The 24,201-nt window shown below is 55.6% G+C and overlaps 1 protein-coding gene and 3 pseudogenes across 19 annotated transcripts in view, besides 2 other annotated features; 3 read left to right on the top strand and 1 right to left on the bottom strand.

Moving 5' to 3' along the window:
- RRP7BP (ribosomal RNA processing 7 homolog B, pseudogene) overlaps window positions 1-4,913 on the top strand; it is an 8,768-nt pseudogene extending 3,855 nt beyond the window's left edge. Inside the window, 5 exon segments of the transcript NR_002184.2 lie at window positions 195-313; window positions 1,059-1,176; window positions 1,548-1,645; window positions 2,031-2,226; window positions 3,339-4,913. The product of NR_002184.2 is annotated as a ribosomal RNA processing 7 homolog B, pseudogene (transcript).
- On the bottom strand, window positions 3,775-24,201 carry SERHL2 (serine hydrolase like 2). 18 transcript variants are annotated; one of them, XM_024452196.2, is made up of 13 exons: window positions 24,115-24,201; window positions 23,070-23,219; window positions 22,812-22,925; window positions 22,452-22,493; window positions 22,074-22,093; window positions 21,569-21,643; window positions 19,700-19,809; window positions 17,892-17,971; window positions 14,688-14,768; window positions 11,819-11,853; window positions 6,954-7,036; window positions 5,628-5,721; window positions 3,775-4,221 (listed from the first exon to the last, which is right to left on the bottom strand). In XM_024452196.2, the coding sequence occupies exons 1-13, from the start codon at window positions 24,134-24,136 to the stop codon at window positions 4,102-4,104; spliced, it is 1,026 nt and encodes a 341-aa protein (XP_024307964.1). In that variant the 5' UTR covers window positions 24,137-24,201; the 3' UTR covers window positions 3,775-4,101. The 18 variants fall into 18 exon arrangements, 11 of the variants coding, with proteins under 11 accessions (XP_024307964.1, XP_047297251.1, XP_047297255.1 ...); XM_047441295.1 differs by having other exon boundaries at window positions 3,775-4,218; XM_047441299.1 differs by lacking the exon at window positions 24,115-24,201 and adding an exon at window positions 23,480-23,781 and having other exon boundaries at window positions 3,775-4,218.
- On the top strand, window positions 8,907-9,010 carry RNU6-513P (RNA, U6 small nuclear 513, pseudogene; annotated as a pseudogene).
- RN7SKP80 (RN7SK pseudogene 80) lies at window positions 12,828-13,095 on the top strand (annotated as a pseudogene).
- Window positions 17,043-17,727: an enhancer, noted in NCBI's record as "H3K4me1 hESC enhancer chr22:42956436-42957120 (GRCh37/hg19 assembly coordinates)". NCBI's record gives its function as "activates a minimal SCP1, AML or CMV promoter by ChIP-STARR-seq in naive H9 embryonic stem cells {active_cell/tissue: H9 hESC(naive)}" and the evidence as "EXISTENCE:reporter gene assay evidence [ECO:0000049][PMID:30033119]".
- Window positions 17,177-17,236: an enhancer, noted in NCBI's record as "active region_19171". NCBI's record gives its function as "activates an Ori minimal core promoter by ATAC-STARR-seq in GM12878 lymphoblastoid cells {active_cell/tissue: GM12878}" and the evidence as "EXISTENCE:reporter gene assay evidence [ECO:0000049][PMID:35858748]".

Raw genomic sequence — 24,201 nt, 5'->3', positions numbered from 1 at the left:
GGAATATCGACCTCCATATTGTCCCTGGGGAACAGGTCGGAGGCCATGGTGCCCACAGTCTCCCGGCTTGGGCAGATGTGGCTGTGGCTCTGAGTCCTTCAGCGGCGCTGGATCCCTGGCAGCGCCACCCATGGTGGAGGGAGGCTTTGGGATGGCCCTGCGGATGCTCACACTTGGCTTCCCTCTCCCTGCAGCAGGAGAGCCTGTCCTGCCTCCAGTCCACCTGTGGCCTTGTCCAGTCTGTAGAGTTGAAGGAGAAGCTGGAGCTGGCTGGGAGTCAAGGTCGAAGTTTTTTCATCCAAAGCCAGTTCCGGTGAGCCGCCAAGCACTGGGTTCCACTAGAGTGAGGGGGGTGGTGGGGCACTGTCCCCAGTGTGGTAGGGGAGCTGGCAGTGGGACGTCAGAGCATTCTCTGGTCCTGAGCCCATCCTCACTGTGTGTGGTGTAGGAGACTGTCCGGCTGACAAAGCCTGCGATTCCTTCCCAGATTTGCCACATCCTTGCACTTCCTGCCTGGCTTTTTCTGTCCCGTGTTAAAGCTCACGGACCGTCTCTGCTGGCCACCTGCAGGGCCTTCCCCGGCTCCCCTCCTGCTTCCCCACTGAGGGAGCTCCTTCCCCAGGCTTGGGGGCCGGGTCTCCAGGAGCACTGTTGTTCACAGCTTTCCCAGTGGCCCTGGAGCCCACACCTCCTCCCCACACAGTGGCATCTGGCATGGTGTGTGTGCCCAGGCCTGGCTTCCAAAAACCTGCCGTGGCCCAGGGCGACCCCTGCGTTTCACCGCATCCCTCCCGTGACTGGAAGAAAGGAAGCCTCTGTATCCTCTCTTCCTGGGGAGGAGTTGGGAACAGCTGTCACTTCGCGAAGAAGCAGGATCACTGGAAGTGTGGCTGCCCCTGACCTGGATTATGGGATGGCCTGTGGTTCTCTTCATGGCTCAGGAATAGCCTAGCACCGTCTCCCCTGGTGTAGCTACCACCTAGGCTGAGGGCAGGCCTGGAGACCTTGTGCCAGACGTGGGAAGGAGCCCCCAACCTCTGACATCTCTCTCTCTTCAGGGTTTCCAGGTAGCCTACGTGGTGTTCCAGAAGCCAAGTGGGGTGTCAGCGGCCTTGGCCCTGAAGGGCCCCCTGCTGGTGTCCACAGAGAGCCACCCTGTGAAGAGTGGCATTCACAGTTAGTACTGCGGGAGGGGTCTGGCGCCTCCTTTCTGGGCTCCGGGTTGGCAGGACACTCTATGGGGACAGTGTCTGAATGTCACAAGCCAAGTCCATGCTCCCTGAGAGCAGCATGTGGAGGCCTGGGCAGGAGGACCATGGGGCTGTGTCTGGGTCCCCAGGGAGTCATTAGCCTGAGCCCCTGGCACAGAGCGGCACAGGCATACTGGGCAGGCAGAGCGAGGGCGCAGCTTGCAGCCCCTGGGATCTCCTTAGCGCCTGTGCCCCGGGCCCTGTGGGAAAAGGTCCCAATTTGCCTGGCAGGCCCTGGGGTGGGGCCCAAATGCCAGGCCTGAGGAAGCCCCGTTTCCCTGGCTCCCTTTTCCTCAGAATGGATCAGTGACTACGCAGACTCTGTGCCCGACCCTGAGGCCCTGAGGGTGGAAGTGGACACGTTCATGGAGGCATATGACCAGAAGATCGCTGAGGTAGAGGCCCCGCGGGGTCGGCCGAGCCCCGCGTCGCCCGTGTGGCTGTGGGAAGGTGGCGCCCCAGAGGGAGGGCGGTGGTGTCCTGTCCTTGGCCACTCTGTAGAGGCCAGGCTCCCTGTTTCCCTGCTGGATCCTGGGCTGCCTGGTTGGGTGACACATGTAGTCTCCACATGGTCTACAGTGGAGAAGGAGGCAGCGCCAGCAGGTCCGTGCCCTCCCCGCCCTCCTTAGCCCCAACACTGTGCTGGGAGGAGGGGAGCAGCCCTCCCCTGCGGGGGCTCAGGGCAGTTCTGACTTTGGGAGGAGGGCGTGGAGGGCGCGCTGCTGGAGGCTGCGGGAGGTCCCAGGCGCCCACCGGACGATGGGATCACCTTCCTTGCAGGAAGAAGCTAAGGCCAAGGAGGAGGAGGGGGTCCCTGACGAGGAGGGCTGGGTGAAGGTGACCCGCCGGGGCCGGCGGCCTGTGCTCCCCCGGACTGAGGCAGCCAGCTTGCGGGTGCTGGAGAGGGAGAGACGGAAGCGCAGCCAAAAAGAGCTGCTCAACTACGCCTGGCAGCATCGAGAGAGCAAGATGGAGCGTAAGCCACCCCGAGTCCATCCTCAGACCCCTCGGCCTTGGCCCCAGCCACGGATGAGGCCTGTGGCCAGTGCTCCTGAGGGCGGGCGCTGGACTTGGTGGTCGAGGAGGGAGGGCGTCCCTAAGCACGGGGCTCGCACCAGACTCTGTGGAAAGAGGCCCAGCCTGGCAGCACCCTGTGTGGCGGTTCCCCATCACCCCCCAGGGGCAGATGCATTTGCTCAGTGGGTGGGGACCCTAGGTCATCAGTGCCCACCTCTGGGTTCCTGTGCACTTAGTGCTGGCGCTCGTCAGCCTCCAGCTAACGCGTTCAAGTGCAGAGGGGGCTTCTGAACCCACTGTGGGTGCAGAGAAGGTGCTGCAGAGTATGTGTGTTGGGTTGGTGGTGGGTGTGTGTGTGTGTGTGTCTGTCAGGTGGCCCCGCACAGGACCCTCCCATGCCTGTGGGCCCGATCGCCTGTGGCCCACTCCTGGTGCTGCGGCTGAGCCTCCTGCCCCACTGCCTGGTGTCCCTGTCTACAGAACAGCTTCCCTGTGGGCCCAGGGGAGGGTTCTCCTGGCCCTGGCTAGGGCACAGGGACGGGCTCTGCGGCAGGCCCTGAGCCGCCCGCCCAGTCACTGGTGCTTTCCCTGCCTGGCTGGCCCTCCTGGCTCCCGCTCGTGCTCGCTCTAGACCCTCAGCTTCCCCCTCAGTGCCATCAGCCTCCCACTGACCAGGGTTGCCATCTGCATTCACCAGCACAAGGGCTGGGGTGCCTTTACTGATTCTCAGGGTTCTCCAGGCCGAGCGCTCAAGACTCCTTCCTTCCCCCTGTGCAGGGATGGGGGTGGGGGCGGGTACCTTTGCTTTGTCGCTAGGGCTTCATCTCCAGGCTGGGGGTGCCAGCATCTCCCACTTTGGCCTTGCCCTTGGACTCGGCCTGGCCTGCCGTCGGTTCTGTTTCCTGACAAGATCCAGACCCTGCCCCCACAGCAGAGCTGGGAGGGGGATGGGCTGGTGGGGGAGACATAGCCCCACCCCCACAGTAACTGGGAGGAGGGGTGGGGCATGAGCAAGCCAGCTTCCCCGGGGCGCGCTGTCTGACCCTGCCCCGCGCCTCCTCTCACCCCCAGATCTAGCGCAGCTGCGCAAGAAGTTTGAGGAGGACAAGCAGAGGATCGAGCTGCTGCGGGCCCAGCGCAAATTCCGACCCTACTGAGCCGTGAGAGCCGCAGTGGATGGCTGGAGGTGCAGGGCCAGGAGGAACATGAGGTGAGGCAGGGCCTGCAGCGGTCTCTGAGAGGCCGAGCTCTGGCCAACGGGCCCCAGGTTGAAGGCCATCGCGTCCAACAGCCCCATCAGAGTCCACACAGGCCAGGAGTGAAGGACCAGGCCACCCCTCGGGTCTTGTGCTTCAGCAGTCCTGGAGACCCAGGCGTGCCGAGAGGAGGACTTGTCCTTCCCACCTCTTGCCTCCACACCCTTGAGGACCCTGGATGAATCCGTTCTGTGCTTCCTTTTCCCTCAATGCAAAAGCCCTTGCTGGCAACAAAAAAGCCTCAAAAGCAGTGAGAATACAAGAACCTTTTATTTTCCATCCAGTTGGGCAGCAGGGAAAGGCTAGGTGGGCCCAGCCTGCCCTTCCTTCCTCCAGCTGGCTGGATATTTATTATTAGCCAGGAGAAAGCAGCCCTGGAACCCAGACTCTGTCTCCCCCTTGAGGTCACAGATGTTGAAGTTGGAATCTCGCTCCTTCCCCTGACTACCATCCTAGGCTGGGCCTCAAGACTAGTGAGGCCTGTCCCCACCATCCCTGGCCTTGTTGTGGGGCTCAGGAACTCAGAGTCCCAGTGTTGAGTCTGGGAGCACTAGGTCTTCATAGTTCCAGGCCCAGAGCTACAGCTGGGCTGGGAGCATGTGTGTGCACTGTAAGAAGGAGCTGATGATACTGGCCACGTGCTGGGGTTCGCTCATGTGGACACAGTGATTGCCTGGGACTTCCACAAACTGGAACTGCTGGAGAGGGGAGGGGGTGGGTGGTGAGGTGTGGCCAGAGGAGCCTAGGGAGCTCCATGGGCCCCGGGGTCAGGGCCCTCCCACAGCATTCCAGCTCCCTGCAGGTCAGGAGCGCCTCCCACAGTGAGTTTCCCCCACACTCGGCTCCTTGGAGCCCCGACAGTCCATAGCACCCCAGGAGGTGTCTAACCCTAGGGACTTGGAGGCCTCCCAGGGGTCTAGGCCAGCTGAGTTGTGAAGTTGCATGGCAGGGACAGGGCGGGGCCGAGGCCAGGGTTGCTGTGATTGTATCAGAAGAGGTACCCGTGAGAAAAGATAATGAGATGGGGGCGTGAACAGCCTGCAGACTTGTGTCTGCCTTCAAGAAGCCAGACAGGGCCGGGCGCAGTGGCTCACGCCTGTATTCCCAGCACTTTGGGAGGCCAAGGCAGGCGGGAGGCCAAGGTGGGCGGATCACGAGGTCAGGAGATCAAGAGCATCCTGGTTAAGACAGTGAAACCCCGTCTCTACTAAAAATACAAAAAATTAGCCGGGCGTGGTGGCGGGCGCCTGTAGTCCCAGCTACTCGGGAGGCTGAGGCAGGAGAATGGCATGAACCCGGGAGGTGGAACTTGGAGTGAGCCGAGATCGGGCCACTGCCCTCCAGCCTGGGCAACAGAGCGACACTCCATCTCAAAAAAAAAAAAAAAAAAGCCAGACAGGAAGGCCTTGCCTGCCTTGGCTCTGACCTGGCAGCCGGCCAGCCACAGGTGGGCTTCTTCCCTTTGTGACAATGCCAAGAAACCTGCAGAGGCCCCAGGGTCAGTGTTCCCGGGTAGGTGACCATAAAACACCACGTGCTCCCAGGAACCTGGGGGAAAAGCCACCTCTGCCTACAGCCAGCACGCCCACTGTCATGATGGGTGCAGAGGGATGAGGCAGTCGGGTATTCTGCTGTGGTTTGGGAGCCTGTAAAATGTGCGACTAGGCCGGGTATGGTGGCTCCCATCTACAAAACCAGCACTTCGGGAGGCCAAGGTGGGCGGATCACCTGAGGTCAGGAGTTTGAGACCAGCCTGGCCAACATGGTGAAACCCCATCTCTTAAAAATATAAAATATAAAAATTAGCTGGGCATGGTGGCAGGTGCCTGTAATCCCAGCTACTCAGGAGGCTGAGGCACGAGAGTAGCTTGAACCTGGCAGGGGTTCCCCACCAAAGGTCTCTGTTTCCTTAATTCTGATTACATGTGTCCCTAGGCCTCTAGGGACTGACCACAGTGGAGCATGAGGCCTGATAGATCCTGGTGGTCACTTGTTGGGCCTGGGGGCAGACCCAGGGTCTTCCCAGTGCATGAGAAGAGATGGGTGAGGTGGGACCAGAGTGGGCGACAGTGGCTGGACACCAGCTGCCTGAGCCCCGTCTTACCTCTTTGAGGGTGGATTTCATCGTGTCTATCATGAACGACAGGGACTCCTTCTCAGAGTAATTCTGTCTTGAATCAAAATATCCGTGGACTGCTCTGGAAAGTGAGGAGTTGGGGGTTGTTGGGGTTCATCTTAGAACCGCCTCCCAGCGGTGCCCCCATCCTGCCCTGGGTTCAGGCCTCTGAGGAGAAACCAAAGCCTGGGCTACCCCAACTCCCACAGCTGGGTCCCTTGACCCTGGGTTGGATTTGAGGCTCAGTTAATCTCAGCTCATGCTCAGCTGGCACAAGCCAGGCACAAGTGAATGCTGAAGGCACAGCCTTTCTGGGGCACAGGGAGTTCAGGACTTGGTCACAGTCAGCCCTGAAAAGCAGAGCTGGGATCTGAACAGGCGCTGGAGCCCATACTTGCTCTGAGAGAGAATTTATGTCTTCACAATCCTCCCGTTGATAGTCTACAATTCTGTGGTTTTTAATACATTGAGTTGTGAGACCATCGTCACAATTACAGGACATTTTCATCGCCCCCAAAGAAATCGCGAACCTCTGAGCTTACGCGGACACACACACACCCCACCCCACCCCCCGCCCCCCGCCCCCAACAGGCTTCCGGTCCTGAGCAACCATGACCTGGCTTTGTCTCTGCAGTGTGCCCTATTTGGACTTGACTTGAACGTGAATGCAGCCATACAACACGTAGACGGTTGTGTCTGAATTCGTCCACTTAGCGCGATGTTTTAAAGGCTCATCCATGCTGGAGCCCGTGTCAGTGCTTCGTTTCTTTTTATGGCTTAAAAATCGTCTATGGTGGGCCACGCACGGTGGCTCACGCCTGTAATCCCAACACTGGGAGGCCGAGGCGGGCGGATCATGAGGTCAGGAGATGGAGAGCAGCCTGGCCAACATGGCGAAACCTCGTCTCTACTAAAAATACAAAAATAAGCCAGGCCTGGTGGCGGGCGCCTGTAGTCCCAGCTACTCGGGAGGCTGAGGCAGGAGAATCGTTTGAATCCAGGAGACAGAGGTTGCAGTCAGCCGAGACTGGGCTCACTGGTTATGGAGCCTTACCTGGGCATGCCCCCCGCTGACACCTGTGGAAAGGCATGGGACAGCCCCGGCCCATCCCCTGCTGCCCGAGCCCTCCCCTCCTCTGACCTTCCTCCTTCCATGACCCTGCTGCCAGGGGGGCTTCCCAAAAAAGATCTTGAGCCTTAGCGATGTGGTCGACACGCAGAGAACTTGGAGCCTCATGCCAGGGCCCCCTCCCGGAGATTCCTGGCGCCCATGTCTCCTTGGCGGGTGGCTGAAGGGGATGGGTCCAGACTTACTTGATCAACAGGACATGGGCCTGCAGCTTCCTGATGGAATGCGCACACAGCTCCCTGCTGATGAAGTCAATGCTGTTCTCTGCCTGCAGAGACAAAAACATGGTGAATTCTCGTCACAAGGCACAGGCACTCTCGTGGGCACGAAACCCATCTCTGTTGGGGTGGCTAAGTCCTGGCGAGGGCACCTTAGCCACCCACCCTGGGTCTGAGCCCAGGACCCCACATCACTGCCTCATCGAAGGCTCTTTAGCCCCTGGTGGCCAGAGACTCCTGCCCTCTCCAAGTCTGTTCTCCCTTCTTCCTGGGCTCGTGGCTACCCAGCCTGACTCCATTTCCCATACTCCTTTGCCACCGGGTATGCCTGTGAGATTAAAGGCAGAGAAGTGAGTTGGGCCACTTCTGGGCCTGGATTTTAGGACTTAGGTGTGGCCCTTCCACACCCCTTTCCCAGTCCATAGGCTGCACCTCACGCTGTCCCCTGCCAGCCTGGGACAGGCTTCTTGCCAGGAGGAAGAAACTTGCTGGGACCACAGTGCAGGATGGGCACTCCGTGATGGCCCCTGCCGGCCTCCTCCGCGGCCCTGCCAGCCCTGTCTTGTGACTGTTTTACGTCTGGATGGCAGGGATGTGGCCAGCTTGAGTGAGATGTGCTGTAGGTGTGACACGAAGCTGGATTTGGAAAACTTAGCATGCAAAATAATGCAATCAAGCTTTATGTTGATTACATCTTGAATCACATTGTGGATGTTAAAATATGAGAACAATTGTTAGAGCCTTATTTATTTGAGACCGAGTTTTGCTCTTGGTGCCCGGGCTGGAATGCAATGGCGCGATCTCAGTTTACCGCAACCTCCCGCCTCCTGGGTTCAAGCGATTCTCCTGCCTCAGCCTACCGAGTAGCTGGGATTACAGGCATGCGCCACCAGGCCTAATTTTGTATTTTTAGTAGCGACAGGGTTTCACCATGTTGGTCAGGCTGGTCTTGAACTCCTGACCTCAGGTGATCTGTCTGCCTCGGACTCCCAAAGTTCTGGGATTACAGGTGTGAGCCACCACACCCAGCCTTGGGCCTGTTTTAATATAGCTGCTAGAGAAATGTCAAGTTCTGTGAGGCTTTGCTTCCATTGCACTGTGCTGCTCTGATCTGGGGACTCCAAGGGCAGGAGCTCTCAGCATTTTCTCTATCCCTAGTTCTCAGCACGTGGAGTACAGAGGAGAAGCTTCATAAATGCAGCTGAGTGGATTAATTCCGGGAAGCTCCCGTAAGGACCAGCTCCCCTAAGTTACACCCGATACTCCTGCACCATTGTGAATATAAAATTGCCATGAACACACACACACACACACACACACACACACACACAAATTGCTATGAACACACACACACCAGTGAAAACTCACTGCCCTGTTTCCACCCTGGCCCTCCAGCTATTTTCTGCTTCTCAGACTAAAATGACCTGAAGTGCCTTCCCTGAAACAGGGGTTCCCATACTGTTCCCAAGGCCTGCGTGTTCTCATATGTCAGCTGCCACATCTCACAGCAGGGTGTGACCAAGCTTTTTGGGCCTGCACACAGGAGGGGCTTCCTGGGCACAAGGTGAACAGGCAAACTTGACCCTGTCTCTACTAAAAATATGAAAATTAGACTGGGCACAGTCACTCACGCCTGTAATCCCACCATTTTGGGAAGCTGAGGCAGGTGGATCGCCTGAGGTCAGAAGTTCGAGACCAGTTTGGCAAACGTGGTGAAACCCCATCTCTACTAAAATTACAACAAATTAGCTGGGCATGGTGTCAGGCGCCTGTAATCCCAGCTACTCAGGAGGCTGAGGCAGGAGAATTGCTTGAACCCGGGAGGCAGAAGTTGCAGGCAGCCAAACTCGGGCCACCGCACTCCACCCTGGATGACAGAGTAAGACTTGGTCTCTAAATAAATAAATAAATAGAAGGTAGGTGCTTTGCTTCAGCAGCACATATACTGCTAAATTGGAACAACAAAGAGATGATTAGCGTGGCCCCTGTGCAAGCGTGATACGAAAATTGTGAAATGTTCCTTTGCAAGAAAAAAAAAAAAATTCACATCACCTGAGGTCAGGAGTTCGAAACCAGCCTGCCCAACATGGCAAAACCCTGTCTCTATGAAAAATACAAAAAATTAACCCAGCATGGTGGAGGGCGCCTGTAATCTCAGCTACTTGGGAGGTTGAGGCAGGACAATCCCTTGATCCCAGGAGGTGGAGGTTGCAGTGAGCTGAGATCCCACCACTGCACTCCAGCCTGGGCGATCTCAGCTCACTGCAATCTCCGCCTCCCGAGTTAAAGCGATTCTCCTGCCTCAGCCTCCTGAGTAGCTGGGACTACAGGTGTGTGCCACCACACCCGGCTAATTTTTGTATTTTTTGGTAGAGACAGGGTTTCACCATGTTGGCGAGGCTGGTCTTTAACTCCTGGCCTCAAGTGATCTGCCTGCCTTGGCATCCCAAAGTGCTGGGATTACAGGCATGAGCAACTGCAGAAACTTAAAACTTAGCTGGCCAGAAACTTAAAAAATAAAAGAGAATTTTGGGCCAGCTCCATTTTGTAATGTGTATCTTCTGCAATTTAGTTTATGTCCTAACGAAGTCTTTCCATCCCTGGGAACCATCTTCCTTCCAGCATTATGGGTGATCACAGCTCCCACTACAGAACAGGTCACATAAGACATGGTCCCTAAGGACAGGGAAGGGGGCATCTCCAAAAGCCAGATTGACTAGGATCTGGCAATAAATTCCTACCACGAAGGTCAGCACACACAAGGGACAAACCACCAGTGAGTGAGCCTTAGTGGGTAGGGAGGACCACCCAACAGCTGGTATTGTTCATCTAGAAAAACAATTACAATGGCTGGCTGCAGTGGCTCACACCTGTAATCCCAGTACTTTGGGAAACTGAGGCGGGAGGATAGCTTGAGCCCAGGCATTCAAGACCAGCCTGGGCAACATGGCAAGACCCTGTCTCTACAAAAGTAAAAAATTTAGCTGGGTGTGGTAGCGCACACCTGTAGTCCTAGCCACTCCGGAGGCTGAGGTGGGAAGATCACTTCAGCCCAGGAGGTTGAAGCTGTGTGAGCCATAATTGAGCCATGGCACTCCAGTCCGGGTGACAGAGGGAGACCCTGTCTCTACAATTCAAATAGACCGAACACTGTGGCTCATGCCTGTAATCCCAGCACTTTGGGAGGTCGAGGCAGGCAGATCACCTGAGGTCAGGAGTTCGAGACCAGCCTGGACAACATGGTGAAACCCCATCTCCACTAAAAACACAAAAATTAGCCAGGTGTGGTGGTGGGTGCCTGTAATCCCAGCTACTTGGGGGCTGAGACAGGAGAATCACTCGAACCTGGGAGGCAAAGGTTGCCGTGAGCTGAGATAGTGCCATTGCACTCCAGCCTTTGCAACAAGAGCGAGACTCTGTATCAATAATAATAATAATAATAATAATAAAATTAAAGAAAAATCGAACTTTTATTTTTTTTATTTATTTATTTTTTTTTTGACATGGAGTCTCGCTCTGTCGCCCAGGCCGGACTGCGAACTGCAGTGGCGCAATCTCGGCTCACTGCAAGCTCTGCTTCCCGGGTTCACGCCATTCTCCTGCCTCAGCCTCCCGAGTAGCTGGGACTACAGGCGCCTGCCACCGCGCCCGGCTAATTTTTTGCATTTTTAGTAGAGACGGGGTTTCACCTTGTTAGCCAGGATGGTCTCGATCTCCTGACCTTGTGATCCACCCGCCTCGGCCTCCCAAAGTGCTGGGACTACAGGCGTGAGCCACCGCGCCCGGCCGAAAAATCGAACTTTTAAAACACAAAAAAGAAAAAAAGAAAAGAAAATGAATCACTATCTGACACCATGCTCAAGAACAAATCCCACACGGATCAAAGACAAACACGTTAACATTCCCAGACCATTGGCTGACGCCCTGGTCCAAGCCTCATCTCTTGGCCTGGGCCTGGGCAGCAGCTCTCAGCGGTCTCCCTGCAGTTAGAGCGTCCCCACCTCTAATGACAGTGTCTCACATGTGTCCAATGTTCTACCATATTTTAACAATCACAAAATAGCACAGGCCATGAGCACCTGAAGCGACAGCACTGTGCGAGGCCACTCAACACACATGACCTCACCTAGTCTCGACAACAACCCTTCAAAGGCAGGCCCAGGGCTTGGCTCCCCTAGCCAAGCTGCTCATAAACCAGCTGAGCGAATGAAAGCACTTTCTTTTTGCACGTGAGACAACCAAGGCTCAGAGAGGGTAAGCACCTTGCCCAAGGTCCTACAGCCCCTCACTGGCAGAGATGGCCAAGTTTCTATTAATACAAGTGCTCCAGTGACACAGGCCTCCAGATGGGACGCTGTTTTTTGAGAACCTTTGTCATCCTGCCCCTCCCCTCTTTAATCTTCACAGCCTCTATCAGGAATCCCCCTCTCAACAGATGCACCGAGCTGACTTCGAGCTTTTCCCTGTGCAGCAGCCAGTGCCTGGGATGTCTCCCTCCTCTCCTCACCTCCATCGACTGTATTTAATGCCACTGAAGTGCATACTTACAAACGGTTAAATTGACAATCATTAAGTATTATGTTAGCTATATAATTTCTTTTGTTTTTTTTTTCTTGAGATGGAGTCTCGCTCTGTCGCCCAGGCTGCAGTGCAGTGGTGCTATCTCGGCTCAATGCAACCTCTGCCTCCCATTCAAGCGATTGTCCTGCCTCAGCCTCCTGAGTAGCTGGGATTACAGGCGTGAGCCACCACGCCTGGCCTGTAATTTTCAAAAACGACAAAGACGCTAACAGGCAAACCTTGGCGGGGGACCCGGAGGCAGTGGTACTCACCCAGGCGAGCCTCTGGTCTCTGTTCAGAACCAGACCTGGAGGCGGAAGCACAAAGACAGCAGCGTCAATGCTGTCCATCAGGGTCAGGGGACGCTCCGTGACTTTGCTGGAACCCTCCAGGCCTTTGCAGCCAGGGCCCATTTCTCCCACCTGCCCCCGACGTCCTCAGCTGCCCAGGACTCCCTGTCCTGGGGTCCAGCTGGAGCAGGGCTAGACCACAGCCACCTGGCCACAGACCTGTCAGCCCACATGGGCCCTCACCGGCCACCCCAAAGGGCCGGTGCAGAATGAGGGCGGGAGCTTAGGCTAATAGCCTCGTGGACGGTGGAGCTCTAGTCTCTGAGAAACTCATTCATTCCTTTAGTCACTAGGAAGAAGCAAATAAGTACCAATGGTGTCACTGGTTGTGGTGAGCTGAGATCGTGCCACTGCACTCCAGCCTAGGCGACAGAGCAAGACTCTGTCTCAAAAAATCAAACAAAAACCACTAAAAAACCATACATATATGATATACCAACAAGATTTTCTTGGTGGGGGGCCTAAACCACCTGATTCTCAAGTTCACGTGGAAAAATTACACAGGTAAGAATAGCAGGAGGTCAGGCACCTGTAATTCCAGCACTTTGGGAGGCCGAAGTGGGAGGATCACTTGAGACCAGCGTGGGCAATGGAGCAGGACCCCATCTCTACACAAAAAAACTAAAAAATTAGCCAAGGCCAGGCATGGTGGCTCAAGCCTGTAATCCCAGCACTTTGGGAGGCCGAGGCAGGCGAATCACGAGGTCAGGAGTTCAAGACCAGCCTGGGCAATATGGTTAAACCTGGTCTCTACTAAAAATACAAAAATTAGCTGGGCGTAGTGGCAGGTGCCTGTAATCCCAGTTACTCGGGAGGCTGAGGCAGGAGAATCGCTTAAACCCGGGAGGCAGAGGTTGCAGTGAGCCGAGATCGAGCCACTGCATTCCAGCCCAGGTGACAGAGTGAGACTCCGTCTCAAAAAAAAAAAAAAGATGTGAGGGTGATCTGGCTGCGACATCTGTCACCCCATTGATCGCCAGGGTTGATTCAGCTGATCTGGCGGCTAGGCGGGTGTCCCCTCCCTTCCTTACCGCTCCATGTGCGTCCCTCCCGAAACTGTGCACTCGGTCGAAGAGGACGACCATCCCCGATAGAGGAGGACCGGTCTTCGGTCAAGGGTATACGAGTAGCTGCGCTCCCCTGCTAGAACCTCCAAACAAGCTCTCAAGGTCCATTTGTAGGAGAACGTAGCGTAGTCATCCCATCACCCTTTGCTCTCTTTTCGGACTCGGCCCGCCTGCACCCAGGTGAAATAAATGGCCTTGTTGCGTGTACACACACACACACACACACGCGCGCGCCGAGCATGGTGGCACACTCCTGTAGTCCCAGCTACTGGGAAGACTCAAGTGGAAGGGTTCTTTGAGCCCAGGAGGCAGAGGCTGCAGTGAGCCGAGATCCTGCCACTGCAATCCAGTCTGGCCAACACAGCAAGACCCTGTCTCAAAAAGGAAAAGAAAAAAGACTAGTAGAAAAACTCTGTAAAAGAGCCATGAAGGGAGACGGTCCCGTCAGATGCGAAAATCCTCAGGCCGGGTGCGGTGGCTCACACCTGAAATCCCAATACTTTGGGAGGCCAAGACAGGTGGATCACCTGAGGTCAGGAGTTCGAGACCAGCCTGGCCAACATGGTGAACCCCATCTCTACTAAAAATACAAAAATTAGCCAGGCATGGTGGTGGGCACCTGTAATCCCAGCTACTTGGCAGACTGAGGCAGGAGAATTACTTGAACCCAGGAGGTGGAGGTTGCGGTGAGCCGAGATTGTGCCATTATACTCCAGCTTGGACGACAAAAGCAAGACCCCGTCTCAAAAAAAAAGAAAAAAAAAAATCCTGTGTCGGGCCTCAGTTTAAAATGTGTGGTACAGTAAGATCATAGACAGGCAGTCAGAGACAGACCCAAGTACAGATGGGCATTCACTGTCTGACCAAGGCAGCCCCTTACATGAACAGGGTAAAGATAGACTTGTCTAAAAATGGCATTAGGCACCTGAGGAGCCATCTGGAAAAAGATGAAGTCAGATGCAAACCTCACTTTGTATACTAGATAAGGATCCAATGTAGTAAATATTTAAATGCTAGTGCTAGACCCAAAATAATATTAGTGTCAAGCATGACCTTTTAACTATGACTCAAATTCCAGAAGCCATACAAAAGACATGTTTTTTCTTGTCTTTTTTTTTTCTGAGACGAAGTTTCACTCTTGTTGCCCAGGCTAGAGTGCAATGGTATGATCTCAGCTCACTGCAACCTCCACCTCCCGGTTCAAGCGATTCTCTTGCCTCAGCCTCCCCAGTAGCTGGGATTACAGGCATGCGCCATCACGCCCAACTACTTTTGTATTTTTAGTAGAGACGGGGTTTCTCCATGTTGGTCAGGGTGGTCTCGAACTCCCAACATCAGGTGATTCACCCACCTCAGCCTCCCAAAGCGCTGGGATTACAGGCATGAGCCACTGTGCCTGGTCTAGAAATCTGTATTTTTACATAAAATCTTTCTATTTAAAATAATAGCCCTTCTGCTCTGGTCCTTGGGCCCTTCCTCCAAAAAATAAAAAGAGTATAATAAAAAATAAAATGTGGGCAATCTATTCAAAATTCCCCCCATGCCAAATGTTTTTGATTAAACTGCACAAGTTAAACAAATTATTATCTGCAACCTGTATGCAGTCCAGCTTATGAGAAAGATTTGAGCCTCCCCCACAGCACGGGGCTTCAGGGGCCAGATATTTTTGTTTTGTTTTTAAGACAGGGTTGGCTGGGCATGGTGACTCACACCTGTAATCCTACCATTTTGGGAGGTCGAGTCAGTAGGATCGCTTGAGTTCAGGAGTTCGAGACCAGCCTGGGCAACATGGCGAAACTCCATCTCTACAAAAAAATACAAAAATTAGCCAGGTGTGGTCTGCACACTTGTGGTCCCAGCTACTCAAGAGGCTGAGGTAGGAGGATCGCCTGAGCCCATGAGGCCAAGGCTGCAGTGAGCCATGGTCACGCCACTGCATTCCAGCCTGAGTGACAGAGCAAGACCCTGTTGAAAACAACAACAACAACAAAAAAAAAAAAAAAGAAAAAAAGAAAAAGCCAGGGTCTTGCTAGAGTGCAGTGGCACAATCAAGGTTCAATGCAGCCTCCGACTCCTGAGCTCATGTGAGTCTCCCACTTCAGCCTCCTAAGTAGCTGGGACCACAGGTGTGCCACCATGCCGTTTATTTTTGAATTTTTTGTAGAGATGGGGGTGTCTCCCTATATTGCCCAGGCTGGTCTTGAACTCCTGGCCTCAAACAGTCCTCCCACCTGGACTCCCAAAGTGCTGGGATTACAGGCATGTGTGAATACGCTTGGCCAGGGGCCAGACTGACACAGACTGTCCCTCTGTCCTTAGGGCACCCCAGGCAGAGTGGGCCCCTCCCTCCTTCATGGGAACACCTCAAGATGGTTTCCAGAAAGCCAGTATTGTGGGGCTTAAACTTAGATGAGAAGATAAAGAGCTCATCTCTGCTGCTCTCTCCCCATCCTGCACCACCAGCTCACACCTCCAGGCCTGTCCTGCCAGCTCCTTTCTCCTCCTGGAGTCCGTAGGAGCAGCTCCCGTACCTTCACTGCTTTGCTCAAAAGTCACCTTCTCATGAGGCCCACCCAGACCTTCCTATTCAAAAGAGGAAGTGGAGCTGCAGCCTCTCCAACAATGCTCGCTGCCCTCCCCACTCTGCGTCCTCCACGAGCCCTCCCCTTCTCACGCACTCTGTAACCCACCCAGAGAACCTCACACACAAGCCAACGGGCTCCTGAGGCTCCCAGCAGCCAGAGAGGTGGGAACAGATACTCCCTCACAGCCCTCAGAAGGAACCAGCCCTGCCGAGGCCTTGACCTTGGACCCTGAACTCCGGAACTGTGGGGGAATGTGTCTTGGTTGTTTAAGCTCCAGATTCTGGAGGAATCAGGTTGGATGATGGGGGCAGGGAAGGGAAGTTATCCCAGTTCAGAATAGAATGTGAACTCTCAGGGGCCCTGGGGTTGGAGGGAAGCATTTGGGAGGAACCTACATTGTCCTTGAGGCACTGGGTGGGGGGTTCTGGCTGGGTACTGTCTTCTTTTAGGTTAATGCTGGGTCCCAAAAGGCCACAACTGCTGCAGAGGGCTTGTCTGCACACAACGTTCCAGCCAGCTGACCACTTCCCCCAGACCCAGGGTTCACCTCTTTCTCAGCCCTCCCTCTTGCCTGTTCCCTCACCCCCCTGACACCCACATAGGGGTGCCTGGTCAGCATCCTGCATTCACTGTTTCCTGTGACCTGGGCCTAATCGAATTCCCCGGCCTCATTCCAGATTAGCTCACTTCTGTGCCTGGGGCTCCCTAGGTCAGCCATCCGTGAGGCATGTCCAGGAAGCCTGGGCCCGGGGTCCTTGACCTCCCCTCCCCATGATGGGTTTCCAGGGAGGCAAGATAAAGGTTCAGCCAAGATGATCACGAAGACCCAACTGGTCCCAAACTGGCGACCCGAGGCCAAAACAGCCCACAGGTGCCGCTCCTTAGACCCTCGGGGGATGCTGTCCATTTCTGGACTCAAGACAACTAAAAATACTCACCTCAGCAGATCAACTGCAGAGCTGAGCAACTGGTAATTCTGGCCACACGAGACTGAATTCCCACTTGATTAGCACCGGCCCAGCTGCCTACCAGGGTGGGCTGCCTCCAGCTCCAAAGTCCCTACACAGCCCATAGCCTCCCTCCCGGCCTGCACCCTCAACTCCACAACACGCCCCCACCCCCGCCCCCAGGTGCTGGAGTTTCTGACCCCCTGCCTCACTCAGCACTTTATAAAGGGAAGGCACATGCCCACCTCACCTGGTCCAATGAGCGCAAAAAACCCAAGACCTTGTTTGTCACCTGAGCAAACAAGGGGAGTCTAAAAGGGAAGGGACTGTCCCAAGATCACTGAGCTGGCAGTGTCAGGAAGCAAAGTTGTGTTGCCCAGCTTAGCACATTTTCCATCCGACGACACCATCTCCCTCCAGCTGTTCCCTCACCCTGGGAGAGCTGCTTCCTGGACCACTGCTCTGAAGCAGGCCCCGCCATGAGTCTCTTCTAGAGCACCATGTATTTCCTTCATTACATCTAGAGAATGTCTAACCACTCATGTGCCTGTTCACCTGTGTATCATCTGCTTCTCTTCCAAGAATCTAGGCCTCTGCCCAGACTCTTCCTTACTCAACTCCAGGGGGCGCCATTTGTGCACAGCAGCCCCTGGAGTTGTGGTGCGGGAGGTCTGGCCCCACTGAGAGAGGGACAGTCGGCTCTTGCTCACTGCAGCCTCACTGAGCCGGGCCTGTAGCAGGCCCTTACAAAAGATTTCCTGGGCCAGGCACAGTAGCTCACACCTGTAGTCCCAGCTACTCAGGAGGCTGAGGTGGGACGATCTCTGGAGCCCGGGAGGTGGAGGCTGCAGTGAGCCATGATGGTGCCACCGCACTCCAGCCTAGGTGACAGAGCGAGACCTTGTCTCATAAGAAAAAAGAACGAAAGAAAAAAAATTCCTGGGTAAAAAGCAAAGTACACAAATCGCTTGTGCCAGAAGCTGCTCTGAAACCAAGACATACCAGCTCCACCTCTCCATTGTGAAAAGCCTCTCCCAAGTCACTCAGCCCCTGGGACGTCCTCACAGCCTGCCTCTGGCGCTGGGCACCCACCCCAGATCCAGCAGAGCATGGCCGTGACATTCACCAACATTTAGTCCAAGACACCTGACCAAACTCTCCCAGAGCGTGGCTTTCTGGGATGTGCAGTAACTGTATGGCCTCACCCGGGTTGCTTGGCAATGCTGAGCCTTGGTTTCTCCTGCTCTAAATGGGATGAGGGTGAGGCAGGAGGGGGATTCAGTGAGATGCTGTTTGCAAAGCGCTTAGTATCCTGCCTGGTCTAAGGCAAGTCCTTGACATCCTCGGTAAGAATAGTGACAAATATAAAATGGCCTTGGACAGTAGAGTCCCTTACCTGTGGCCACCTTCGTGGTTCCTCTTTGCAGGAGAAGCTCCCCGCACTCCTCACTCAAGTGGCTATTGCTCTTCAGTAACCTGGGGGGAGACAGAAGGATGCTGGGTGCCTGGAGGCCAATAAAAAGGAGGTCAGATAAAAAGGAGAGGAGGGCCGGGGGGGACGGTGGCTCATGCCTGTAATCCCAGCACTTTGGGAGGACAAGATGGGCGGATCATCTGAGGTCAGGAGTTTGAGACCAGCCTGGCCAACATGGTAAAACCTCATCTCTACTAAAAATACAAAACTTAGCTGGACATGGTGGCATGTGCCTGTAATCCCAGCTACTTGGGAAGCTGAGGCATGAGAATCACTTGAACCCAGGAGGCAGAGGTTGCAGTGAGCTGAGATTGTGCCACTGCACTCTAGCCTGGGGAACAGAGCGAGATTTGGTCTCCAAAAACAAAACACAACAACAACAAAAAAATGGAGACAAGGGCAGCAAAAGGGAGGTCACCCACAAAGCGTGCATGTGTCTCGTGATTTTTTTTTCTTTTTTTTTCTTTGTGAGACAGAGTCTTGCTCTGTTGCCCAGGCTGGAGTACAGTGGCGCAATCTGGGTTCACTGCAAGCTCTGCCTCCCGGGTTCATGCCATTCTTCGTTACATCTAGAGAATGTCTAACGCCTCTTCTGGATAGATATTCAGGCGCCCGCCACCACCACGCTTGGCTAATTTTTTGTATTTTTTAGTAGACACAGGGTTTCACCATCTTAGCCATGATGTTCTCAATCTCCTGACCTCGTAATCTGCCCACCTCCGCCTTCCAAAGTGCTGGGATTACAGGCATGAGCCACCGTGCCTGGACCTTGTATTCTAATTGAGACAGGGTCTCACTTTGTCACCCAGACTGGAGTGCAGTGGCATGATCATGGCTGTCTGCAGCCTCGACCTCCTGGGGCTAAGCACTCCTCCCAACTAAGGCTGCTGAGTAGCTGGGACCACAGGCGTGTGCCACCACGACCAGCTAATTTTTTTTTTTTTTTTTTTTTTTTTTTAAATACAGGGTCTCGCTATCTCGCTCAGGCTGGTCTCTAACTCCTGGGCTCAAGCTATCTTCCCACCTCAGCTTCCCAATGTGCTGGGATTACAGGTGTGAGCCACTGCGCCTGGCCTGTGTCCCGTGTTTCGATTGCATGTTTACAGCGGCAGGGTGTGTGTGTGTGGGTGTGTGTGCGCGTGCGTGTGGTGGGGCAGTGGGGGGCTTCTCCTCCTTCAGACAACAAATATGTGTGGAGCTCTGACCTACCAGGCCCACTGCCAGATGCAGGAGGCACAAAGATGACCAAATCAGCCATAGTGGGGGTTGCGGAGTTCACATGCCTCGGGAAACAGAGGAATCAATAGGCTCTTATTGGACAGTGTGGTTACCTGCAGGGCAGGGACAGCTTGCCTGGGGGTGTCAGGGCAGGGTTCCCAGCTGAGGCCCCAAGGAGTGGGGAAGCCAGTGAGCAAGCACAGGGGAGAATTCCAGGTAAGGGAGCCCAGGCTGGAGTCCCAGAGGGGAGAGAAGGCGTGGAAGCAGCATGTGCTTGGGAGAGAGGCGGGTGCGTGAGAGGTGTGGGGAGGGTATTGGAAGTAAGGGGCATGGCTGGAGCAGGGGCAGAGGGAAAGAGAGAACGTCCCTGAAGACCCTGGGAAGCCTGGTGCTCAGCGTGACCCCAGGGAGAAACAGGCTTGTTGGGTGAGAGGGAGAAAGAAGCTTCTCCACGTCTCACGGGATGTCCTCCCCTGGACCCCACCAGCTCCCCGTCCACACCGGGCACCCACCTCTGCAGCAGCTGCTTCAGGCTGAACACGTGCGAGGGCTCCTGGGAGGCCTCTACCTGCAGCACGTGCTCTATGGCTCTCCGCTTGTAGGTCAGCAAGTTCTCCATTTCCTAAGGAGGCACAGTTGGCTGGTGGGCAGGGATCCAGGCTGCAGACGAGGTCTCTGCCCCTCCTAGCCCTGCCCTCTGCTCTCAGCTGAGCCCCTCTCGGCAAAGGGGCACACAGCCCCAGCCCTGGCTAGTCAGCCCCACGATTCTGAACGAGTCTTTGCTTCGCCTCAGTCACAGCCAGCCTGGTCTTGCCTGCGGCCAGGGACAGTTGAAGAGATCAGGTGGGATGATGGAGAGGAAGGGGAATCTCTGTCAACTGCCAAGTGCTTTGCAAAGGCATGAAATTAGGGTCCGGAGGCCACGAACCATCTGGGGTTGGCAGTTTCATCTGGTTCAACGAATGCCATCATTCTCAGTGGCAGAAAGGGACTGGCAGAAAGGGCGCATTTCTGGGGCTTCCAAGCTCCCCCATGATGTGTGGCTCACTCTGTGAGGACAGCCTCAGGCCCACTGCCTGGGGCTGCAGAGGGGGGCATCTCCCATCTACCCATGCCTGAGAATGCAGGACAAGAGGACCAAATGCCCCTCTTGACTCGCCCAGGAGGAAGCCCCTGGGGGCACTGCACTTGTCAATTCAGTGGGTGAAATGCAGAAAGAAGGGAGTGTCTGCTGTCTGCCATCTGTAAATTGGATCCTTATAATAGCCCCTGAGCTAGCTGAGCTCATGCAAGGAACATTTACTGAGCCCTTACTAGGTGCCAGGATTGGGGATGTGGTGACAGAGATGGACATGATCCTTATCCTTATGGGATCTGCCGTCATTCTTTTTTTTTTTTTTTTTTTTTTTTTTGGGAGACGGAGTTTCCCTCTTGTTGCCCAGGCTGGAGTGCAATGGCGCAATCTCGGCTCACTGCAACCTCCGCCTCCTGGGTTCAAGCGATTCTCCTGCCTCGGCCTCCCAAGTAGCTGGGATGACAGGCATGTGCCACCACGCCCAGCTAATTTTGTACTTTCAGTAGAGACGGGATTTCTCCATGTTGGTCAGGCTGGTCTCGAAATCCTGACCTCAGGTGATCCGCCAGCCTCGGCCTCCCAAAGTGCTGGGATTACAGGCGTGAGCCACCGCATCTGGCCGATCTGTGGTCATTCTATGGACAAGAAAACTGAAACTGATGAGACTTGTGTCACAACTGATAGGCTGAGACCTTGGCAAGAAAATGACAGGATGTCAGAGCTGGCCAGGTCATTGAGCCCAACCTCATTTTACACGTGCGGGAACTAAGGCCCAGAGAGGCAAAGTAACTTGCCAGGGGTCACCCAGCAGGTAAACCAGGCCAGGACTCAGACGCAGAGACAGTACTGGTTATGGGTAGTGGTGGTCAGAGGGGTCAGTCCTTGTTCCTTCAGTTCACATTTAGGGCTGTCATGTGTGGTGGTGCAATGTGGACACAGTGCAAAGGCATTCGACTGGGTGTGAGTGCAGTGTGCCGGCCCAGCTGTGTGCCCTAGAACATCTTCCACCCATGGCCGCTGCCCTCTTCCACTGCCTGCCACTGCGTGATCAGCCTGGCATTCTGCAGATCCCGAGCCACACATCCAGTTTCCAAGGGGTCCCCCACACCCCTTGTCCTGACCACTGCTAGGGGTATAAGCAGCAGAAGCCTGTCATCTGTTGGGGAGCGGGTCCCTGACTCCCCTTTCCCACCCTCTGCCGCCTCCTCGTGCTTCCCTAGTGTCCACCAAAGGAGACAGGGCTGGGAGCGCTGCCCGGGGCCCAGGTCCTCCCTAATGACAGCATGCACGAAAGCCCGCTTCTCACATCTGATTCCAGGAGAAAGAGCGGCGTGTCCAGCAAGATAAGTTTATCCACCATCTCGGGGAAGGTACAGAAAAACTGTGAGGATGCCAAAAGGGGAGAATGAATAGGGGGAAGAAGGAAAGGACACTCCCGCCTTTCCCTGGGGACCCTGGAGTTCCCCGAAACATCTTTTAGGCTGGGGGGAGGGTGCTGACCAAGAGGCCAGAGGAGAATCTTCTATCTATGGTGTGCCTTCCCCCACCACCCCTAAGTCTGCACCCAGCACTGAGCTCCAGACCTTGGTGATGGCTGGACTCCAGGGTGCGGTGGGACCGGGTATGGGGGCGTGGAAACATGAACTCTACCAGGAGTCTCCACCGTTTACACCAACTTCCTGGTATAAGGACTGTCACTGTGACAGGAGGAGGCACTTTCTGTCCCAGGTACCTTCTCCTTCCTCCTTTGTGCTCCCCTCCCCACTCCACCCAAGGGAGCCCCAGTTGGCCAGACAAAGCCATCTACTCACCATTCCGCCCACGACGCCACCTGGGGGACAAAAGAGCTGTGGGTGACATTCCCTCACTCCCTCCCCAGCTGCATACCCTAAAGCTTCTTCCCACCAGTTGGGGGGGGGGGGCACCATATGGGTGGCTGGGGGCTCAGCATCTGGGCCATGATGTCCCCTTCATCAGACCTGACCACTCAAAAGACCACATTTCCCTCATCCCTGTGTCCCTTGCGGCAGTTGCCTGAGGTCAGAGGGTACAGTGGTCAACCTCTGACTGACCCTCTCATCTCTCTTTGCAGATCTCATAAGTGCAGGGGAAAGGGGTGGGGCAGCAGCTCCTATCCTTCCCTCCCAGCCCTACTCCGGGCCCGGTCAGCTCCTGGCCACTGTACTCACCGAAGCTGTGGCCCAGAATGGAGAATCGATTCCATTTCAAGGCTGGAAATGCAAGGAGCCAGAAGGTCCGGCTGGGCACAGGCTCAGCCCACGATCTTGCTTCTAGTCCCCAGGCTCAGGAAATCCCTTCCCAGCATCTGGGGTGTCCACCCAGGACACTAGCTTGGGGGACCCACTGGAGGAAGCGAACTCTTCAACTTTCCCAAGATCTCCCGTGAATTGCTGGCAGACCTGGGGCCAGAGCCCAGGCCCCACTCTCAGGCCAGCGCTGCTTCCTGGATCCTACCCCGCCTCCAGTGATAAGAGGGGGTGCCCTAGAGCACCCCCCACACCGCCGAAAATACACACTCTGTTTCTTACCTGCCACAACTCTTCGGATCTCACTCACAAAAGTCTGGAGGTAATATGGGACACCTGGGCTGTAATGGGACGAGAGCCCATGACCTCCGAAATCCATGGCAACGTAATAAAAGTCTGAAACAGAGAGAAGCGGGTTGGAGGGTAGGAAGAGGTGTCTATGCCAGCTGTCTCCCCGCCCTCCTCATTCCCCTGCAGACCTCCCCCCTCACCTTCCTGCCCACTTTCCCCCTGGCCTTCCCTTCAGCCCCAGCCTCACACCTTGCGGGAGAAGAGGGATGAGTCTGTCGAAGGAGCTGGCATTGTCCAGCCAGCCGTGCAGGCAGAGAACTGGAGGGCCCTGCAGGGAGCCCCAGGCTTTGGCTGCGATGTGGCCCCAGGGCACAGCCAGCTTCAGCTCTGAGATCAGACCTGAAAGACACAGCCGGGTCTTTCATTCCTTCATTCATTCACCCATGAAGCTGGTGCTCCCTGAGCCCCTTATCTCTGCCTGATGTGCTTGAGCCAGGGGCTCATGTCCAGAGGGACTCAGACCCTTAGCTGCCCCAGAAGGTTATGGGGAGAGAGTCAGACATGGGAGTGGAGACTCCCAGAGGAGGGACAGAGAAGTTAAGCCGGAAAAAGCTGTGACAGGCCTCAGAGCATGCACCCCATTTAAACTGGGGCAGAACCTTCTAGAATGTGCTGGGGCGGGGGCGCTGGTCAGGCCTGGACCCCATCACTTGCTGGCTGGGTAACCTTGGAGAAGTTACTAAAACGTCTTGAGCCTGTTTCCTTTCCTGTAAAACCGGAGTAAAGAAACAGCCCGTTTCCTAAGCCTTTCCCAAAGGCCAGAGGGGTGCCAAACCCTCATACACGCAGCAGGTGGGACCACTGTCACTCTCCCTCCACAGAGCAGGAAACTGAGGCACTGGGAGCTGCAGTACATGCCCAAGGTCACACTGGGCGACAAGGGCGGAGTGGAAATTTAGGGCAGGCGGTGGGACTCCAGGAACCCCCACCGCCCCCACATCTGGCAGCCTCCTCCGTCTCTGCAAGGCTGGAGACTTGCGCACCCCCGACACCCACGCGCACGCTCGGCTAACTCAGGGGCTCCTGGAACCCTGGGAGGCCACGTGCGGCCGTGTCCCGGGTCCCCCAACTCCTGGCCGGTCGCGCTCTCATGCCCCGGGACTGCCGAGGAAGGAGCTGCGACACCCAGGAGGGCGACGCGGTCGGCGAACCCTCCACTCCATCCCGCCCTCTTCTACTGTCCCAACCAGGTGGGTGGGCAGTGGGACGCTCGCACAAGGCCTCCCCGTCAGACCTGGTGCGGCGTTCTCACTCATCGCTCTCGTCCCGCGAATGCGCTGCTGTCACTCCCTCACGCCTGGCTAGGTCGCAGGAGCAGAGT

Source organism: Homo sapiens, chromosome 22, assembly GCF_000001405.40.
Source record: "Homo sapiens chromosome 22, GRCh38.p14 Primary Assembly".
NCBI classification, from domain to species: domain Eukaryota; kingdom Metazoa; phylum Chordata; class Mammalia; order Primates; family Hominidae; genus Homo; species Homo sapiens.
Note: the sequence above shows the minus strand (reverse complement) of the source record. Positions and strands in the feature narration are given on the sequence as shown.